Source organism: Homo sapiens, chromosome 5 (assembly GCF_000001405.40).
Source record: "Homo sapiens chromosome 5, GRCh38.p14 Primary Assembly".
Classification (NCBI taxonomy): Eukaryota; Metazoa; Chordata; class Mammalia; order Primates; family Hominidae; genus Homo; species Homo sapiens.
In genome coordinates this window covers 65,767,106-65,785,730 of record NC_000005.10, presented here as the reverse complement: position 1 = coordinate 65,785,730, position 18,625 = coordinate 65,767,106, and the positions used below count along the sequence as shown (strand labels likewise).

General features: G+C 39.5%; 1 protein-coding gene across 5 annotated transcripts in view; it reads right to left on the bottom strand.

Annotated features, from left to right (window-relative positions):
- NLN (neurolysin) overlaps positions 1 to 18,625 on the bottom strand; it is a 107,079-nt gene that overhangs the window by 43,553 nt on the left and 44,901 nt on the right. For all 5 annotated transcript variants that reach the window (NM_020726.5, XM_005248559.4, XM_047417445.1 and 2 more), the window contains exons 4-6: positions 8,197 to 8,304; positions 5,450 to 5,552; positions 4,310 to 4,470 (exon numbers count right to left, since the gene is read on the bottom strand). In NM_020726.5, the coding sequence (NP_065777.1) occupies positions 4,310 to 4,470; positions 5,450 to 5,552; positions 8,197 to 8,304 (372 nt within the window). The remainder of the gene's footprint in view (positions 1 to 4,309; positions 4,471 to 5,449; positions 5,553 to 8,196; positions 8,305 to 18,625) is intronic.

Sequence of the window (18,625 nt, the reverse complement as noted above, 5' to 3'; positions counted from 1 at the left end):
TGATCCAAAGCACTAAAAGGAAGAATTACTGTATGTATTTTTAGGTTTGTAAAATTATCAAATATTTTTAGACCATTTAAATTTCTGGTTCCATTTTGGTGTTATAGGCTTTTTTTTTTTTTTTTGGATTCATGATTTCGTTTTATTTCTGAAACAATTTATGACTTTTTAAACTTCAGAACTATGAGGTCTTAATAAAATTGTAGGTGCTACAAACTTAGAGTGAAAATATATTTTTAAGGAATATAGCGAATCCATATTTACTTCTACTGACAGAACTGCACCAAATATTGGTACTTTCAGTTCCTTTGGACATTTTTATTGTGGTAAAATACACATAACGTAAAATTTATCTTTTTAATTTCATACCCAGTTGTATGGCTACTATTTTTAAAAACATAGAAAATGTGCTGGTGAGGAAATGGAGAAATTGGAACCCTTGCACATTGCTGATGAGAATGTAAAGTAGTTTAGCTGCTGTAGAAAACGGTATGGTGATTCCTAAAAAAATTATACCATATGATCCAGCAATTCTACATCTCAGTAAATAACAAAGATAATTGAAAGCAGAGACTCGAAGAGAGATCTATACACCCATGTCCACAGCAGCATTATTTATAACAGCCAAAAGATGGAAGCAACCCAAGTGTCCATGGACAGATATACAGGTAAACAAAATGTGGTATATATATACAATGGAATATAACTCTGCCTTTACAAGGAAGGAAATTCTGACACATGCTACAACATGGATGACCCTTTAAGGTATGCTAAGTGAAATAAGCCAGATACAAAAAGACAAATATTTTATTATTCCACTTATATGAAGTTCCTAGAGTAGTGAAATTCACAGAGACACAGAATAGAATAGTAATTGCCAGGGCCTGGGGATAGGGGATAATGGGGAGTTAATGCTTAATGGGTAGAGTTTCAGTTAAGGAAGATGAAAAAACTCTGCAGGTGGATACAGGTGATGGCTGCAGAAAAATATAAACATATTCTCAATGTGAATATACTTAATGCCACATGCTATGGTCTGAATGTTCCCCAAAATTCATGTGTTGAAACATAATCCCTTTTGAGGTAGTGTTAAATGGCAGGGCCTTTTGGGAATTGACCAATGAATTAGTGCCTTATAAAAGGGCTACAGCTAAAGAACTTGGGCCTTTTCTGCCCTTCCCCCTTCTGCCATGTGAGGATATAGAAAAAAGGCCCTTTCTAGACACTGAATGCCGATGCCCCTTGATCTTGAATTTCTCAGCCTTCAGAACTGTGAAAAATTTCTATTGTTCATAAATTACTTCGTCTGTGGTATTTTGTTATAGCAGCACAAATGAACTAAGGCACCATAAAATTCTGCTTTTAAAAATGTTTCAGGGATTTTTCCCAAATTAACATTACAAATATCTTTTATATTTTATTTGTATTAAAAATACAAAAATTGATATTATTTTATTATTTTCTTAGCAATGAAATAAAAGTAATTCTCCTAGAGGAAGTAAGTAAATGTTAAAGTAAAAGAAAAAACTGATTCCAATAATCAAATCAGCAAATTATTTATAGACTGGTTTCTAAGGAAAATCACACACTGAGGTCACACTACCTGCATTCAAAATTTGGTTCCACCATTTACTAGTTACCTGATCTTGGGCAAATTCTGGAGCTTTCTGACCCTCAGTTTTCTCATTTGCAAGATGTGGAAAATAAAAATACATACACTGGAGAGTAATCATGAAGATTCAAATGAAAATATATGTAAAGTGCTTAGACAAATGCCTGGCACATAACCAAACACTATATAATTATCTGTTATAATTATTATTATTTTAAAACTAAAATGGAAAACATAGAAGAGAAACATACATAATGTAATTCTCCAAGTTCTAAAATTAAATAGTTTAATTAGATTTTTCTTTCATTTTTTGCAGTTTCTCCAGATCTTCTCTCTAGACTGCCAATTTTCTCCCAATATCTGTTCTCTCATTTTTTCTTTTAGTAATATAACTCTGAATTTTTTTTTTTTTTTTAATTTTCATAGAGGTGAGGTCTTGCCATATTGCTGAGGCTGGTCTTGAACTCCTGGCCTCAAGCAATCCTCTTGCCTTGGCCTCCCAAAGCGTTGGGATTACAAGTGTGAGCCACTGTGCCTGGCTGAACTCTGAATTTTTGCCGGACACTTGGTTACCTAATTACGTTTCCCAGCCTTCCTCAAAGCCAGCTGTGGCCATGTGATACTCAATGGGACAATGGGATGTGAATGAAGTGATGAGTGAAATTTCTGGGTCATGTCTGATAGATCTTTGCCTTGCTGGCTGTGAACTGAAGATGACCTCAATGACCCTGAAAGCCACACCCTGAGGATGGTAGAGCTGTCTTCCACCTCTGGACCACTCACCTCTTGACTTACAGTTATAAGACAAATCTTTTAAAAAAAAATTGTGGTAAAATCTGCCATTTTAGCCATGTAAAATTCAACGGCAATAATACTCATTCTATTGTGCAACCACTACCATCATCTGTTTCTAAAACTTATCCATTACCCCAAACAGAAACTCTGTAACCATTAACTCCTCAGTCTTCCCTCTCCCCATTCCCTGGTAACCTCTAATCTACTTTCTGGAAAGATAAAACTTTTATCTTATTTGAGTTAACTGTGCTTTTGACTTCTGTCAAGTCCCTTAGCCTGGACCCTAACATATGTAGAGATTAATACCAGAAATTGGGTGGTACTAACAATAAAAATGAAAAATGTACAGGAATGGAAGGTAAGGACCCAGACATTGCAGGCTGGGAAGCAGGTTCTCATTATACCATGGGCATTTGTGAAAACTGTTGCTTGCCATAACTCAGACAGCAGGCCATGTACCTACTGAGTCTTAGCCTAGAGGAATTGTTTGGGAAAGCTAATACTGTTGGGAGGTGTTTTTTTGGCATTTGTTGCTTTTTGAAAGATTACATGGGAGAGATAAGCTTGGGTGAGAATTGGCCAGTTTCTAAAGATGGAAGGAAAAGAATTCTGCTCAGGGAGGTTCTGCCTATGGCCTACAATCTTCAGATGGTTGGAAAAGCCAATTGCTCTGTGTTCCTAGTGTTAAGAGAAAAGGCTGTCACTCCGAGTTACTGAACTGCAGACATGAATTTGAGAATGCTGCCTTCCTCCACAAGCTCACTATGTTCAGAGGGCCTGAAAGCAGACTTCATTAAATGGAGGAAGAGTGAGATGGATAAATTCAGAAGACAGTATATAAGATTTGGCAAGTTTAAGAACTATGACCAAAAGTGATATTTGGGTATAGTTATTTTGACATGCATCTGATTAGCAGCAAACAGACAACAAACCTACATTTTTGAGGAGGCTGTATTACCAAAGATATCGTAAGTCTGGCCTACAAAAGTTTGGATTATTTGATCCCTAAAGCAACCCTTGGGATTCTACCTGACATTAGCAGGACCAGCAGTCCCCCAAGATATGGTCATCAAGGATAATGGACAAAAACAATTCCCTGTGGGCAAAACTGGGGGCCATGGAGTAAAATTGATAAAGGAATTCTTATGAGAAAGCAGACCCAAGTTTAGTCCAACAAGCTAACCAAGAAACGTCACCATAGTACAGAATCTTCCCAGTTCCTGAGGAATTTGAAAATTTTAGAAAATTGCTATGAGCTTGCTATGTTTCCCAGTCTTTCTTTTTCCAAATGGGACTTTTCAGTGCGGTTATTCTTTTCCTATGCCATCACTGGGAGTGTTGGGGGAGGGTGTGGGGGTGAGGAGCTGATAACTTGTCTTCCTTTTATAGTTTGCTGGATTATGAGAAGCTACAACCAGGAAGAACTGTATCACCCAGAGATCCTGGTCTTTGAGCTTCAGGCAGTAACTGGGAATTAACAAATGGTGAATGGGTCCTATGTAAGGAAAAAAGGGTCCTCATGGTTACTTGGATAGCTAGAGAGGCAGATCACGGTAGAACTGGCTAGATGACTGAGAATCCCTGTCTACTTCTTCCTTTTTTCTTTTTCATATTAAAGCAGGACTTACCAGTGCTGGATTGTTGATTTAGGAGAGGAGCAACAGAATTCTAATTTATTTAATCCATTCTATTTTTATTAGAACAGCTTATCCTGTGACCACACCAAGCAGGTTGTCAATGAGCAATGAAAAAGCTAAAAGTCTTGTAAGTCTGAGGAATTAGAGATACAGTGCACACACAGGAATATCAGTCTCTGAGCTGACTTTGACACTGGTGAACAAAGTAAACCCTTTTCTTAAAATATTCCATTAAAAACAAAAGAAAGACAAACATTTATAATACCTCTTTGCACCTTGTATTAAAAGCCATTTCCATCCTTCTTCTGGTTTCAGGGATACAACATTTCTTCATGACAGGGAAATAGTGTGGATATTTTAAGGTAATTTTATACTTGTCATCATCTGTCTTTTCTAAACTGTCAATGAAATCATCAGGAAGAGCACCTGCAAAAAATCATTTTCTCATATATCAAATTTTCCACTCATTGCTGGTTTATTTAGTATTGGCATGGTGCCTTTTGGTAGCTCTAGGAATTTTGTGTAGTAATTGAAATTCAAGTAAAATAATGACAATCCTTTAAATATCATTTTGATGTTGCTGGAATTGGGGTGGCTGTTAGAGGCCAGGTGCCTTGGGAGACGGCAATTCAAAATATGAACAGGTTTCAGTAAACTTGTGCAAATGATGTTTCAGTGGAGAACAGGCAAAATTAAGTGAAGAAAGACCCAGGAAAGCTGGGCACAGTGGCTCATGCGTGTAATCCCAGCACTTTGGGAGGCTGAAGTGGGTGGATCATGAGGTCAAGAAATCGAGACCATTCTGGCCAACATGGTGAAACCCCGTCTCTACTAAAAGTACAAAAATTAGCTGGGCGTGGTGGCACATGCCTGTAGTCCCAGCTACTTGGGAGGCTGAGGCAAGAGAATTGCTTGAACCAGGGAGGTGGAGGTTGCAGTGAGGCGAGATTGCGCCATCGCACTCCAGCCTGGCAACAGAGCGAGACTCCGTCTCAAAAAAAGAAAAGAAAAGAAAAGAAAAAAGACCCAGGACTGAGTAAGAAGAGACTAGTTTAAGATACAATGCAGGAAACAATGCAAGTCAAAAAAAAATTTTAAGGCACTGAAGGCTGTTAAACACAACTATAAACTACCAAGAAAAATTATGAAAAAAAAAAAAGATTATTAAGTCCCCTCTGGACTGTCTCTAGAAATTTTATATACCCTCATTAGCCTAAAATCTAATTTTGGTTGGTTTGATTGTCTCTTCTGTAGAAGGGGTGGTGGACTTAGGTACTGGATCATTTTTTAAATAATTATTTGAACTATGATTTAGAAATTTTGTATCTGGAAAGTAAAACAAACTGTGAGGTAACACTATTTGCCTAAATTATATGATTTAATCTAGAAAAATAATAAAACTTACCAAGTTCAGCCTTGGAAAATACAAGGAAGGTATCATCCTCATTGAGGTTTTTGTTAAAATCAATACATAGCTCACTCATTCTTTTCTTCATTGATTTGATTTCCTGAAAGGAAGATAAAAATACAGGGCATTAGCAATAAAAAGAAACTCATTTTTTGCCAGGCACGGTGGCCCACACCTGTAATCCCAGCAATTTGGGAGGCTAAGGTGGGTGGATCATTTGAGGTCAAGAGTCCAAGACCAGCCTGGCTAACATGGTGAAAGCCAGTCTCTACTAAAAATACAAAAATTAGCTGGATGTGGTGGTGTGTGCTTATAATCCCAGCTACTCAGGAGGCTGAGGCAGGAGAATTGTTTGAAAAAAACAACTCATTTTTATCACCATCAATTGAGTAAGTTTCACTTTCATATGAAGATTGACTTCTGTGCCCAAACTCCAGGAAGTACTTCTGTAGAGATGTGCTTGATAAAACAGGTTTCTGCAGTCCACTATGTCATGTCCACGTGTATCTGTGTGTAGCACTTATAGAAAGGCAAGCCTGGTGGTGTCTTGGAAATTAGTTGTGAATTTGAAGAATAAATTTAGGAGGTACAGTAAACACAATATATTGCACATAGTACATACACAATAAATAGTTTCTGAGTGAATGAATAAATCTAGCAGTGCATTACCAATTAGCAAATTTCTAATTGTTTCCAATTCAAAATTTTAATTCAGTAATCAGCATCTGGTTATGAAGTAAACCAAGAGATAAGAGCTGAATAATTCATTCTATTGTTGCTTCGGGGAAAAGGTGATGTTTTAGTTTTATAGAGCTTTTGTAAAAAAAGATGATTTATAGACTCTAAGATTTGCATAAAAAGTATTAGGTGGGAGATCAAATGAAGCAATAAGAAGGAAACCACCAGAAAAAAAAAAAGATACAATTTTATTAATCTGTCCCATTCTTCTAACAATGTTACATAATGAAATTTACTGCTTCTCAAAGTGTGGCCCTGGCTAGGAGCATCAGCATCACCAGGGAAGTTGTTAGAAACGCAAATTCTTGGGACCCCCACACTAAACCTACTGAAGTGCAAACTCTTAAAAGTCGAGTCCTATAATCAGAGTTTTAATAAGCCCTCCGTGTAATTTTGATGCACACTAAATTTGAGACTACTGACCTAACGCACTGTTCAGTGGTGTTTTCCGATACTCTCCCTCAACCCCCTTTCTACCTCTGCCCCACTTTGCAGCGCCCATGTAGTTCACATAGGACCTGATCCTATCTGCAACTCTAGGTGTGTGACTTCTACACCAGTTGGGCCATCCTTCCACCCCCATTGCCCTCAGGACTGTTCAGATAACCCAGGCCTCGTATTCCATTGACTAAAAGGGAATTCAGGATTAACCACAGGATCCACTCTGGGCCATTAAGACATGAGGAGAGGTTTACTGGTGGCTTCTCTATGTCTTTCTGGATGGTGGAGTTTTTAGATTTATAGCCATTTTAGGAATGAAAGGAAGCCACCCTTTAGATAAAACTAACACTGAGGAAGACACAGTAGAGAAATAGAAAAATCAGTTGGCCAATGACTCCACTGTGCATCAGGATCAAACCAACCCATGCAGCTCACCGACCCCTCGACCTTCTAGTTATACAAGCAAATAAATCTCTCGTTTAAACAGGGTTTTGTTAGCTGCAACCAAACATATCTTAACTAATACAGTGTTCATGCTCCAAACAGAATTAAGAATTGACCAGGAAGACAAAGGGTCAGGTAAGTGAGATCAATCACATTTCTCCTCTAACTCAGTGAAGGAAGAGGATACAAGGTGATCAAAGGGCTTTACGTGGGAGAAAGGTACCCATATCTCAGTGGTGCCTGTGGTTATAGCTAACATGCTGACAACACTTGATTTGGATTTCTTCCAAACTTATTTCCAGTCCTGCTGGCTAGAAGAATGACCTGGAAATAAATCATGGAGTATATTTCCTTTCCAAGAAGAAAAAGGTTAATTCTGGAGCCAAGTTTATTTTTGAACCTGGAAGACTTGACTGGCATTAGACAAAAGAAAAAGTTTGAGAGGCATCTTTCAGCAGCTAATCTCTCATCTTTTAAGGGGCATGTGTTAAACATAGGATACTCCATTCCAAGGTGCTGGTTTTAAAACTCTCCATCGGTAAGGATTTTATAATCAGTGCCCCATCTCTGTATGACCAAGGGAGTGAAAAGACAAATCAACTACTAAGACCTGAGAACAGCTCTTAAAGAATGTAAAACAGGGAAGGGAAAATAAGCTCAACACACATGAAATAAATAAAACTTGTACAAGGTTAAAGAACAATTTTAAGTTATCAGTTGTTTGTCTGTCACCATGAGGTTAACAGGAGTTGTAGAATTTAAAACCACTAAATACAAAATACATTGTATTACAGGTTATTCTATTACAACCCATCTGTTTCCCTATTTTCTGTTTTTTGTTGCACAAATTGGGTATCCCTTATCCGAAATGCTTGGGGCTTGAAACGTTTCAGATTTTGGAGTTTTCTGGAGTTTGGAATATTCCCATTATTACCAGTAGAGCACGCCTAACCCACAAAACCTGAAATGCTCCAATGAGCATTTCCTCTGAGCATCATGTTGGCACCCAAAAGTTGCAGACTGTGGAGCATTTTGGATTTCTGGATTAGGGATGTTCAACCAGTATTTTGTTTTATTTATTCATTTTTTTTTTCTGATAAGAAAAGAAAACATAAACTCACATTCTGTACTTGTTCAGGAAGATGGAGCCCATTTCTTTTCCCCATTTTAATTGACTTTTCCAAGTATCGTCTGGCCTCAGGTTTTATCTTCCCCAGATCACAGGTTTCCTGAAATTAAAGAGCATGAAAACCATTTCGGTTGAAACAGTGCACAGGTAAATTATAAACTATGAGGCCACAGCAAATTTATTCATCATCTCCGTTGGGTTATGAAGCACATAGGTGATTACGAGGCAGGCCCTATTGAAGACCTAATTTCTTTTATACTTTAGTGAGCTCCTGCTCATTTAAAACAGAAACATTAAATAAATAAAAAGCTAACTAGAATTTCCTTGCCTTGAATCAAAATCAGCAGTGCCTGTACCACTTGAAAGTGTGATAACAGAGCATTTGCATAATCTAATTCTGAGCATTCTTTATGACTGAGTGGTCTTTTTCACAAAACATATTTCTTACCACAAATCATCTGGATTTAATTTTCTATCATTTGCTAACCTGGTTCCTACTTGAAAGGCAGGAATAGAAATAATGGGTAAATTCTACACAAATGCAGAGTGGGACTCTTTTGCCAATATACCAAACGGGGAGAGCTGGATAAAGCCCGAGCAAAAGCCTTCCAACACTTCAAAAATGCCTTACTGTCATTTGCCAAGAGAGATCAAGGGACTACAGCAAGCCGCATAGGAACAAGTATCTGGGGAAAATGAGTCAGCACTGCACAAAGTGGAGGAAAGCTGGACAGTAAATTTGAATCTATATGCAGCAGCACAAACAACACTCACTCAAAAGAACAGAGGGCCATGGAGGGGAATGGAAAACTCCCCTAGCCACAGCAAGGTAATAAAGACACCAGATGTTTCTCTAAAGCAGGTGGCAGAATACACATGGCACATCTGGATGGCTGGGTAGTTAGTGGTTCCTAAGAAGAAATGGACTCTGGACAGATTCAGCAGGTGTAATGGATTCAGTTTGGTTGAAAGCCAATGAGGGACTTGTTTCTAAAGCCTTATAGGCCTTCTATTGGTTAAAGATTCTCTCCATGACAGACCCAGGCTGTTCAACCCTGAGCATCCCTAATTTCCCAACTAATTAAATCTGTAAAAGGACTGTGTTTAGCTTAGAGACTGCATTTTAGATTGTTGGTGCTAGATCTGTGCTGCAATAATTCTGTAATTGTATATCTTTTGTTGCAGCAGGTAACAGAGTTGTATTTTAACTAAATACTACTTAATACAGCCAACTGTATCTCACTTTGCCTGCTAAAAAATTATTTTATTTTTTTGGAGACAGTCTTGCTCTGTCACCCAGGCTGGAGTGCAGTGGTGCGATTATCAGCTCACTGCAACCTCCGCCTCCCAGGTTCAAGCAATTCTCATGCCTCGGCCTCCCAGGTAGCTAGGATCACAGGCATGTGCCACCACGTCCAGCTAATTTTTGCATTTTTAGTAGAGACGGGGTTTTGCCATGTTGGCCAGGATGGTCTCAAACTCCTGGCCTCAAGTGATCCACCTGCCTCGGCCTCCCAAAGTGCTGGGATTGCAGGTTTGAGTGACCATGCCTGGCCAACAAATAATTTTATGTTACAGTACTAAGGCATTTGTTGTGCATATATTTACTCTGAGGTTATCCTCAGTGGAGGCAGAAAATAGTTAGGCTCCTTTTTCTACAGCAACCTCCCTTTGTATCCCTGGAGAATTTGTGCATGCTGGCATGACTGGAGTTGGAACCCTCCCTAGCTAGTATCAGTGCACAATGGGATGCTAGCAGCAGGTGCCTGCAAAGGGAGGAAACCCACAATGGCCAGGGAGATAACTGGGCTATGGGCTGGTTCCCTCAGGGGTGGCCAGCAGCTCCAATCACAGTGTTCCTGCGGATGTGATTAACTTGGGTTGATCTAGGCTGCCTTTAGTAGCGCCAGGAAGTCTGTCCTGTAGTGTGAAGCACAGCAACAGGAGTCTCTAGACAGTGTGATACTGCAAGCTGTAGAGCTGGGGAGAATCCAGGCTGTAGTTATGTGCAGGGGACTTGGGAGGAATCCCTGGTGAGAAGGGCCTGGCAAGAGCTGGGTAAGTTGTTAAGGACCCAGGCGAGCAGGCTAAGGACCAGAGCAGAAGGCCATCCCAGCAAGGAAAGGAGCCAGCGAGAAGCTAAGGCTACAGGGGGACAGCCGTGTGTGTACCTGGGTTCCTGGGCCACATTTGGCCATGAGCTCAGGACACAGACTCATGACAAAGCCTCAATAGCTGAAGAATGCAGAATTCCTACCCTATGGCTATGCTTAATGAGGATGGGCTCTCATACTAGGTAGACTGCAATCTGCCATATCAGCATGTAGCAGGGCTGCTCTTTCAGAAAGCCTAAAATACATTCAGGATATGAACTCAAAACTCATAGTCTATGTTAAAGTTAAAACTACTTATTCCCAAAATAAATGACACAGGTGCAAACAGGTAGAAGGATATTCTGAGAAAAATCAGCCCGGAATTAGGTCTAATTAAAATATGACTAATTAGGCTGGGAGTAGTGGCTCATGCCTGTAATCCCAGCATTGGGAGGCCGAATTGGACGGATTACTTGAGGTGAGGGGTTCGAGACCAGCATGGCCAACATAGCAAAACCCCGTCTCTACTAAAAATACAAAAATCAGCCGGGTGTGGTGGCATGTGTGTGTAATTCCAGCTACTTGGGAGGCTGAGGCAGAAGAATCACTTGAACCCGGGAAGTGGAAGCTGTAGTCAGCTGAGATCGTGCCACTGCATTCTGGCCCAGGTGACGGAGTAAAACTGTCTCAAAAAAAAAAAAAAATATATATATATATAATTTATATATGTATGACTAATTAACTGTAATGAAATCTTTAACTTACCACAAAAATGACACAACAGAAATCTGACTATTATAACCAGACACTCCTTGCTAGGCAGACACAGGTCTTGGGAAATCCCCAGAGTTCTTTGGTAGGAGTAAGGCACTTCTAAAATGTGCTACTTAAGCACATTCCTATCCCAGAGCTGATCATAGTAATATTCTCTTACAATCTCCAGGCAAGGTCAGAATTACTGCCCAAGGATTTTCTAAGAGGGAATCAGCCAACACTTCTAGACTGTCTTGCTGTAATTGCACCTTCCTTCCTAACAAAAATTTCTCCCCTTGAATCTCAGCCAGGCCATGGGCCTCTTTAGGTGAAGTTTTTCTGCTTATAGAGTAGAAGGCTAAAGTTCTTAGAAGTGATTTTTAAATTTATATGATCTGACAGTATGGAACCTTATTTTAGTCTCTGTGGTGACAAGATTTAATTTTCCGCTAACTTCCTCCTGTAACAAAGAGTTTTAATATGAATGTGTATTCTCTCTCCCTGTCTGCATCTCTCACAAGTATGATTATATACTCATATTACAGACAAGAAAACTGAGGTTAAATGATTTTCCCAAGATCATATAGCTATCTAATGGTTAAAAACAGCAAAAAAAAAAAAAAAACTTTGAATTCTATTTTAATGTTTTTCCCAATGTACCATACTACTGTATTACCATCCTTAATCATTCTTTAAAATTTTATCACAAAAATTGAGTTGATTATTATTATTATTTTTGAGACAGGGTCTCACTCTGTCACCTGGGCTGGAGTACAGTGGTGTGATCATGGCTCATTGCAGCCTTGAACTCCTAGGCTCAATAGATCTTCGCACCTCAGCCTCCCAAGTAGCTGGGATTACAGGCACATGCCACCACATCTGGCTAATTTTTGTATATTTTGTAGAGAAGGGGTTTAATCATGTTGCCCAGGCTGTTCTAAAACTCCTGAGCTCAAGTGATCCACCTGCCTCGGCTTCCCAACCTGCTGGGATTACAGACATGAGCCACTGTGCCTGGCCAAATATTGAGTTTCTTAATTTCCCCCAAACCCTCCCCACCTTCCGTCTCATGACTTTGTCTTTTTCTTCACAAGAACTTTATATTTTCTGTTTCTAAAATCTATAAATAAAAAATTATTCCAGTGGGATTTTCTGTATTATACAAAGGAGAAATTACAATGCCGTTAAAAGAACTATGGAGATTAAGATAGTATATTTCTCTGAATATCATTTAAAAAATGAATTCAGGGCTGGGCACAGTGGCTCACGCCTATAATCCCAACACTGTGGGAAGCTGAGGTGGGTGGATCAATTGAGCTCAGTTCACCAGCCTGGGAAACATGGTGAAACCTCATCTCTACAACAACTAAAAAACACAAAAATTAGCTGGAGATGGTGGTGCAAGCTTGTAGTCTTAGCTACCTGGGAGGCTGAGGTGGGAGGATTGCTTGGGCCCAGGAGGCAGAGGTTGCAGTGAGCCAAGATTGAGCTACTGCACTCCAGCCTGGGCAACAGAGTGAGGACCTGTTGCAGAAAAAAAAAAAAAAAAAAAATAGAATTCAGGGCTGGGTGTGGTGGCTTATGCCTGTAATCCCAGCAGTTTGGGAGGACAAGGCGGGAGGATCACTTGAGCCCAGGTGGTTCAGGCTGCAGTGAGCTGTGACTGTGCCACTGTATTCTGGCCAAGGTGACAGCGTGAGACCCTGCTCATTTAAAAAAAAAAAAAACAAAAAAGAATTAGGAACTTTGAATTTGCTAAGGAATTATAATAGGATAACAGAGTATAGCCGGGTCTGGTGGCGTGTGCCTGTAGTCCCAGCTACTTGGGAGGCTGAGGTGGGAGAATCACTTGAGCCTGGGAGGCAGAGGTTGAAGTCAGCTGAGATCACGTCACTACGGTCCAGCCTGGGTGACAGAGCCAGACCCTGTTTCTAAAAAAAAAAAAATGAAAAACAAACAAACAAACAAAAAACAAAACAAAAACCCCAAAACCAAAAAAACAAAAACCCAAACCAAAAAAATTAAACTAAAATAGAGAAATAACTAATTGTATTATATTTGTAATTTAGTTCTTCTGCTCCCTCTTGCCCCTGCCCCAGTCCATGACATTTACTATAAAGTTGCTATCTTACTACATGGTGAAGAGGACATTCTTAGGTAGTTGTCTGCACTCCTGGGCTAGGGGGATACAGCCAGCACTGCTTGCTGACTACTAATTCAATATGCCATCGCAAGATTCACTGCTTCTGTGTGAGCCACAGCGTAAGGTTGCTGAAGTGAGGCATCACACTGCATGAAGATACATTTTCATTGGGGCTAGTTCAGTTCAACACACATTTACATTTACTGAGCTCCTAATTATTCCTGGCACTAAGGAAACAAAAAGGAATATTCTTGAAGAGCTTTAAGTCACATGAAGGAAAAGAAAGACATATTAATAGATAACATCAATATCACACATCATGTTAAAAAATAGGTAAGTACTTGGAAAAAAGAGGGGCACAAAAGAAGGATGCCTAGCCAATGGGGAAACTAAGCCAAGGTAATTGATGCTTTATATCTGGATCCCTAGGCTTTTAAGACCCCAAAAAAATTGTAAGTTTAGTAGTATTGATTATGACCAATGACTACACTTACATATTTCAAAAATCAAGAAGACATGGAAAATAAAAGGAATGAAATTGTAAATGAATTTGGGATATCTTTTTTTTTTTTTTGTCATTGTTTTAAGGTAGTGGTTCTTTTTAAACTTAATTTTAAAATTTTTATCTCTTCATTTATTTATTTTGAGACTGGGTTATGAGACTGGCTAATTTCTGTATTTTTGGTAGAGACGGGGTTTTGCCATGTTGCCCAGGCTGGTTTGGAACTTCTGGGCTTAGGCCATCCGCTCACCTTGGCCTCCCAAAGTGCTGGGATTTCAGGCATGAGCCACTATACCCGGTCGGTTCTGGTTCTTGTATTTTAATTTGGAGCTGGGTCTCCATGGCTGGTCAAGTAGGAGAGATTACATAATGTTTAAAATCATATACTTAATCTCATGACCTATTCATCTGCACTGTAACATTAAAGCTTTCCTATTTAAATCACTAATTGGCTAAGATGAATTGGCAAGATCAAAGCCTGCCGCTCTAAAAAAAATAAATAAACAATATTACAATAGATCACTGTACTTCTCAAATTTAGCTTGCATAATTCAGCCTCTATTTCATGAAAGAATTCCTCTTGTGCATTTATTCCTTAGCAGGCCACTGGAATAGAATATGCCTGATTGTTTTGACATGAAGACACTGTACATTTTTCTCGCCAAAATGGCTGGAAAGAGCAGGTATGAAATCTTCTTGGATGTTTGTTGGCTTTTTAAAAGCCAACAATTGAGAAGCCCTTGTCAGAATTGGGAAATACTAATACCTGCAGCCATAATTGCTGGCTTCTGACACTTGGCCATTTTTTTAGCTTAAAAGGATGAGGAAGTCCTTGTTTTCACTGCTTTTTCTCTTTTTTTTTCTTAGTGGAATTAAGGATACATTTAATATATGTTAAATTTTTATGTGTAACCTGATATCTGCAAATGGATATAACTATATATATGTAGTGAGGACAAATTAAATCCACCCTTCAACTTATAAAATAGGACATTAATAATACCGTTGCATTTACTTATGCAACAGGTAACCTGTGCAAAAAATAACTACTCTCTTGAATTTTGTGACAAACATTTTTTCCAGTTTTACCACTTATATATTGTATAGTTTTGCTTCTTTTCGAGCTTTATAAAGTATCATATTGTATGCAGTATTCTGCAGTTTCTTTCCTTCACTTTTACTAAGATTCAACTATATTGTTCCATGTTGTTATACTTATTTATTTTAATGCTATAAAATATTCCATTGCATAAATGTGCCACAATTTATAGATCCATTTTCTTGCTGATGGGAATCTGAGTTGCTATGAACACTTGTTCAATATTACCTTGCACAAATGCAAAGGTATCTCTAGGTAAATACTGAGGTGGGAGTGGGAGGATGTGCTAGGTTGTGGAGAATGTAAGCTCCAACTTTCTAATACTAAGTTTTTCTCCAACTTGGTGATGAATCAGTTATACTCTTAGAAGCAGTGCACAAACATTCTTGTTGATCCATATCCACAAAGATAACTTGGCATTGTTGGTTTTCTTAATCTTTGCCAATCTTGTGAGTGAAGAATGGTAACTTATTATGGTCTTCATTTGCATTTCTCTGATTACTAATAAAATTGAACATCTTTTCATACATTTGATTGCTATGTGCGTTTCTGTTGAAATATTTCTACATATCATTTGCCCATTTTTCTACTGGGATGTTTCTTTGTTATTGATTGTAGTAGTTCTTTATATATCCTAGAATGCATCACTGGTTTCATGTTTTGTAAAGTTATTTTCTCAGTATTTGAACTCTTTTCACTTTTCCTTATGAATAGAAGTTATATTAACATAGTCAAGTTTATTAGCCTTATATTTCATAGTTAGCAGTTTCTGCGTCTTAATAAATATATCCCTGCCCAGATATCATAAAGATATCTTCCTGTACAGACATCTAGAAGCTTTAAGCTCTAGTCTTTTATGACTTTAATCCATCAGGAATTGCTTTTCAGTTGGTTGTCAGGAAGACATTCAATTTTATTTTATTTTTCCAAATGGGTAACTTATGTCCCAGCAATTACCGAAGGCCTATTTTCTGGATCTGCCACTAACTGGTTTCTCACTTTAGTTTGATGAACATTTACTGAATGCTTGCTTTTTATCAGGCACTCTGCCAGAGGTGCAAAATAGAATCAAACATGATACCTCCCTCCCTTGAAGGGTTTAACAAACAGTCTACATGGTTTCTGGCAAGCACTTACCCACCAGTGATGTGGCTCTTGGAAAGTTATTGTTTCTGAGCTTCAGTTTCTCCACTTATATTATAAAAAAGCCTATCTCATAAGATTGGAATCAAGGTTATATGAGTCATATTGCTACACAAATGTAAGGCAGTCTTAGTAGTCATACACTGGGAGGGAGAGGACCACAACACACCGGTTAGTCTTATCCTCTACTGTAATTTCTTCCATCCATTTAATCAACAAATTATTTGTTTTGAAGGTTTTAAAAAAATTTTTTGTGGGTATATGGTAGGTGTATACATTTATGGGGCACATGAAATGTTTTGAGACAGGCAAGCAATATGTAATAATCACATTACAGAGAATGGGGTATCCCTTCCCTCAAGCACTTATCTTTTGTGTTACAAACAATCCAGTTATACTTTGTTATTTCCAAATGTACAATTAAGTCATTATTGACTACAGTCACCCTGTTGTGCTATCAAGTAGCAGGTCTTATTCATTCTATTGTTTTTCCTTTTGGTTCCCATTAACCATCCCCACCTCCTCCCCTATTTTGAAGGTTTTGAAACATGACTGCCAATTAAATGATACTCCCCAGACTGAGATGTGGTGTTCCTTGAATCTGGGCAGAATGCGGTGACTTGTCAACCCATATGGTATGGCAGAAGTGATGTCATGTGACTTCCGTGACAGCACATAAGTGCAAAGTAGCTTCTATGTGCCTTGCCGGAACACTCATGTTGGAGCACTGAGTCTCATGAAAGAAGTCCTACCATCCTGATACCACCACACTGTAAGGAAGCCCAAATTAACCCACACAAATGAACCACATGGAGACGCTCTGCGCTATGGACTGAACTGTGCCCTTTCAAGTTCTTTTGTAGAAGCCCTATCCCCAATGTGGCTGTATTTGTAAATAGGCTTTTGGCAGGTAATTAAGGTTAAATGAGGTCAGAAGGGCAGTTCTTAATCTGACAGGATTGTGGCCTTTTAGGAAGAGAAGGAGAGTTCTCCCTGTCTCTCTCCCCTCGCCTTCCTGTACCCCACCTCCCAACCCGTGCCATGTGCACACACTGAGGAAAGGCCAGCAGGGAAGGGAAGGGGCCATTTGCAAGCCAGGAAGAGGGCTCTCACCAGAACCCAACCATGCTGGCACACTGATCTCGGACTTGCAGCCTCTACAACTGTGAAAAAGTTAATTTCTGTCATTTAAAGGATTCAGTCTATGGTATTTTGTTATGGCAGCCCAGTCTAACTAAGACACTGATATTATTTGGCTGTGGCCCAACCAAATCTCATCTTGAATTGTAATCTGAATTTTAATCCCCACGTATTGAGGGAGGGACATGGTAGGAGGTGATTGGATCATGTGGTCAGTTTCCCCCATGCTGTTCTCATGATGGTGAGTGAGTTCTCACAAGATCTGGTTGTTTTATAAGTGTCTAATGCTTCCCCTAAGTTCACTCTCTCTCCTGCCACCATGTAAGATGTACCTTGCTTCCTTCTGCCATGATTGTAAGTTCCTAAGGCCTCCCACCCAGAGGAATTGTGAGTCAATTAAACCTCTTTCTTTATAAATTACCTAGTCTCAGGTATTCTTTATAGCAGTGTGAGAATGGACTGATACAGAGAATTGGTACTAGGATAGTAGGGTACTGCTATAAAGACAAACTGAAAATGTAGAAGCGACTTTGAAACTGGGTCAAGGGCAGAGGTTGGAACAGTTTGGAGGGCTCAGAAGAAGAGAGAAAGATGTGGGAAAGTTTGGAACTTCCTAGATTTACTGAATGGTTGTGACCAAAAATGCTGATAATGATATGGACAATGAAGTCCAGGCTGAGGTGGTCTCAGATGAAGATGAGGAACTTATTGGAAACTGGAGTAAAGGTCACCCATGCTATGCTTTACCAAAGATACTGGGCACTTTGCACCTGCCCTAGAGATCTGTGGAACTTTGAACTTGAGAGAGATGATTTAGGGTATCTGGCAGAAGAAATTTCTAAGCAAAGTATTCAAGAGGTGGCCTGGGTGCTCCTAACAGCATACAGCCATGTGTGTACACAAAGAGATGGTTTGAAATCGGGACTTATGTTTAAAGGAAAGACAGAGCATAAACATTTGAAAAATTTGCAGCCTGACCATGGGGTAGAAAAGAAAAACCCATTTTCTGGGGAGAAGTTCAAGCCAGCTGTAGAAATTTGCATAAGTAACAAGAGCCAAATGTTAGTGCCCAAGACAATGGGGAAAATGTCCCCAGGGCATGTCAGAGGTCTTCACAACAGCCCCTCCCATCACAGGCCTGGAGGCCTAGGAGAAAAAAAATGGTTTTGTGCTCCCCCCTCCTTCCCCTGCTCTCTGCAGCCTCAGGACATAGTGCCCTGCATCCCAGTTGCTCCAGCTCCAGCTGGGCTAAAAGGGGCCAAGGTACAGCTCAGGCCATTGCTTCACAGGACGCAAGCCCCAAGCCTTGGTGGTTTCCACATGGTATTGGGCCTGTAGGTGTGCAGAAGACAAAAACTGAGCTTTGTGAACCTCCTAGATTTCAGAGGATGTATGGAAATGCCTGGATATCCAGGCAGAAGTCTGCTGCGGGGGCAGAGACCTCACAGAGAACCTCTGTTAGGGCAGTGGGGAAGGGAAATGTGGCACAGGAGCCCCCAAACAGAGTCCCCACTAGGGCACTGCCTAGTGGAGTTGTGAGAAGGGGGC